The sequence below is a fragment of the Homo sapiens genome, chromosome 2 (assembly GCF_000001405.40).
Source record: "Homo sapiens chromosome 2, GRCh38.p14 Primary Assembly".
NCBI classification, from domain to species: Eukaryota; Metazoa; Chordata; class Mammalia; order Primates; family Hominidae; genus Homo; species Homo sapiens.
Genome location: NC_000002.12, coordinates 53,485,052 through 53,488,120, shown reverse-complemented (window position 1 = coordinate 53,488,120; position 3,069 = coordinate 53,485,052). Strand labels below are relative to the sequence as shown.

At 44.6% G+C, this 3,069-nt stretch overlaps 1 annotated feature.

Annotated features, from left to right (window-relative positions):
• Positions 1,199 to 2,018: an enhancer, noted in NCBI's record as "H3K27ac-H3K4me1 hESC enhancer chr2:53713241-53714060 (GRCh37/hg19 assembly coordinates)". NCBI's record gives its function as "activates a minimal SCP1, AML or CMV promoter by ChIP-STARR-seq in naive H9 embryonic stem cells {active_cell/tissue: H9 hESC(naive)}" and the evidence as "EXISTENCE:reporter gene assay evidence [ECO:0000049][PMID:30033119]".

The window sequence follows — 3,069 nt, the reverse complement described above, 5'->3', positions numbered from 1 at the left end:
ACAAAAACAAATCAGGGGCTTGGGGATCCACAGCTTTGTAGTGTAGCAAATAGCAACCTCTGACTCTTAGTGACAACAGGGGACGTTCAGTGCTCCCTGCCATCATATCTGGCTCAGATATAAAAGGGAAACATTTTTCATAATAAAGTATCATACTGATTAAATTTGTATAACCCTTTGTAGTTTTCAAAAATATCACAATTCACCTCCACAACTCTCTGTAGGCAGGGTCAGTTGTTTCTGTTTTACAGGTGAGACAACAAGCGAAGTAGGTAACCAGGCCAGGGTAATTGGGTTAGTTTGCCAGGGCTACCCATAACAAAATACCACAGATTGGGCACTTAAACAACAAACTTGTTTATTCACAGTTCTGGAGGCTAGCAGTCCAAGACAAAATTATTGGCAGGTCTGGTTTTTCTGAGGCCTCACCCTTTGGCTTGCAGAGGGCTGTCTTTCTACTGTGTCCCCACCGTCTCTTTTATCTCTGGGTGTGGCTCCCTGCGTCCAAATTTCCTCTTCTTGTAAGAACACCAGTTGGATTTGATTAGGATCCACCCTAAAGGCCTAGTTTTAACTTAGTTGCCTCTTAATAACCTTATATCCAAATACAGTCATATTCTAAGGTACCGTGTCCGGAATTGGTGGGTTCTTGGTCTCACTGACTTCAAGAATGAAGCTGCGGACCCTCGCGGTGAGTGTTACAGTTCTTAAAGATGGTGTGTCCGGAGCTTGTTCCTTCAGATGTTCAGATGTGTCCGGAGTTTCTTCCTTCTGGTGGGTTCGTGGTCTCGCTGACTTCAGGAGTGAAGCTGCAGACCTTCACAGTGAGTGTTACAGCTCTTAAAGGCGGCGTGTCTGGAGTTGTTTGTTCCTTCTGGTGGGTTCGTGGTCTCGCTGGCCTCAGGAGTGAAGCTGCAGACTTTCGTGGTGTGTGTTACAGCTCATAAAGGCGGCATGGACCCAAAGAGTGAACAGCAGCAAGATTTATTGCAAAGAGCAAAAGAACAAAGCTTCCACAGTGTGGAAGGGGACCAGAGCAGGTTATCGCTGCTGGCTCGGATGGCCTGCTTTTATTCCTTTATCTGGCCCCACCGGCATCCTACTTATTGGTCCGTTTTACAGAGAGCTTTTTGGTGCGTTTACAATTCTTTAGCTAGACACAAAAGTTCTCCAAGTCCCCACCAGATTAGCTAGACGCAGAGCGCTGATTGGTGCATTTACGAACTTTTAGCTAGACACAGAGTGCTGATTGGTGCGTTTACAAACCTCTAGCTAGACACACAGTGCTGACTGGTGCATTTACAATTCTTTAGCTAGACACAAAAGTTCTCCAAGCTCTTACTAGGTTAGCTAGACACAGAGCACTGATTGGTGCATTTACAAACCTTGAGGTAGACACAGAGTGCTGATTGGTGCATTTACAATCCTTTAGCTAGACACAAAAGTTCTCCAAGGCCCCACTAGATTAGTTAGACACAGAGCACTGATTGGTGCATTTACAAACCTTGAGCTAGACACAGATTGCTGATTGGTGCATTTACAAACCTTGAGCTAGACACAAAGTGCTGATTGGTGCATTTACAATCCTTTAGCTAGACAGAAAAGTTCTCCAGGTCCCCAGCAATTCAGAAGCCCAGCCGGCCTCACCTAGTGGATCCTGCACTGGGGCCACGGGCAGAGCTGCCCGCCAGTCCCCTGCTGCGCCTGGCACTCCTCAGCCCTCGGGCGGTTGATGGACAGGGCGCTGTGGAGCAGGAAGTGGCGCCCCTCGTGGTGGGGAGGGGGGCTTGGGCCACGCGGGAGCCTTCCGGGGGCTTGGGCATGGGGATGGAAGTCAACAACAGTACTGGCAGTGGAAGGGATCCCTGCGGTCCAAAAAAAACCCCAAGATGGACAAAATATTGGAACCAAGCACACTCCCGCAACCCAGTGTGGCATCTGGGTTTGAACCAGCAATGGAGGTCATTTTGCTTCACCTCTCAGTACTAGGGGTTAGGTTTTAACATGTGATTTTTTGAGAGGGACACATTTCAGCACACAACAATAATAGTAATCAGGTGTTTTTCTGGTCCCAGGCTCAGCTCTTTCTAGTTGACCAAAATAGAGAACAAAGTGCGAGATAATGACAGCCACAATGAAGAAGTAGGAAAACTAAAGATAAAAAATCCTTATTAGAGCAAGTGCCAACTAAGAAGGCTAAAGCTACTCTCCAAAGAAACTTATCTTTGTCTCAGCCTTTCTGGATTTTTTCTACTTTTTTTTTTTTCTTTACTTCTTTTTTAAACCTTGTTCTCACCTAGGAGATATTTGTACTTCCCTTTTTAGCTTTATTGAAAAGCTTCTAGTACTGTTCTCTAGCTCAGCTTGGGCCTTTGTAAGTGTAGACACAAAGTTACTCTTTCAAACTCAAGCAAATCCTCATTTATCTATTTTTAGGATGTCTGTTTCCTAAAAGCAACACAGAACTTGAAAAAATCTCATCCTGGCTTTCGGGTGCTGGAAAGGCATGAATTCCACAAAAAAGAACACTCATCTCCCTGAAGTACTCCCTATCCTTGTGTTGGATTGCTAAAACACTTCAGGGCTTGTGAATTAACATAGTATCAGACACACTCTCACTTCGAATTCCCAGCCAGTTTTCTTATTTTAATAAAATAAGGTCCTTCTCTCACTGGGGACAGTGAGAAATTGCCCTCCCTTTTCCCAAAGTGCATGATAGAATTTAAGAATGACAGATTCACTAAGCCTCTGTACAAATACACTTCTGGTCACATTTTGCAGAATGAGGCATTTTTAAAACTTTATGTGCTTTACTGAAGAAGCAGCACAGATGTGCCAAGAGACTCGGGTTTATTCTTTGGAAATAACATTTTTGGAAACTGTCTCATTATATCTCTTTCCCTTGACTACAGGGTTCTCTGGAGAAATAGAATCAATAGGATATATATGAGATTTATTATGGGAATTGGCTCACAAGATTATGGAGGCTGAGAAGCCCCACAATCTGCCATCTGCAAACTGGAGAACCAGGAGGGCTGGTGGTGTAATTCAGTCCAAGTCTAAAAGCCT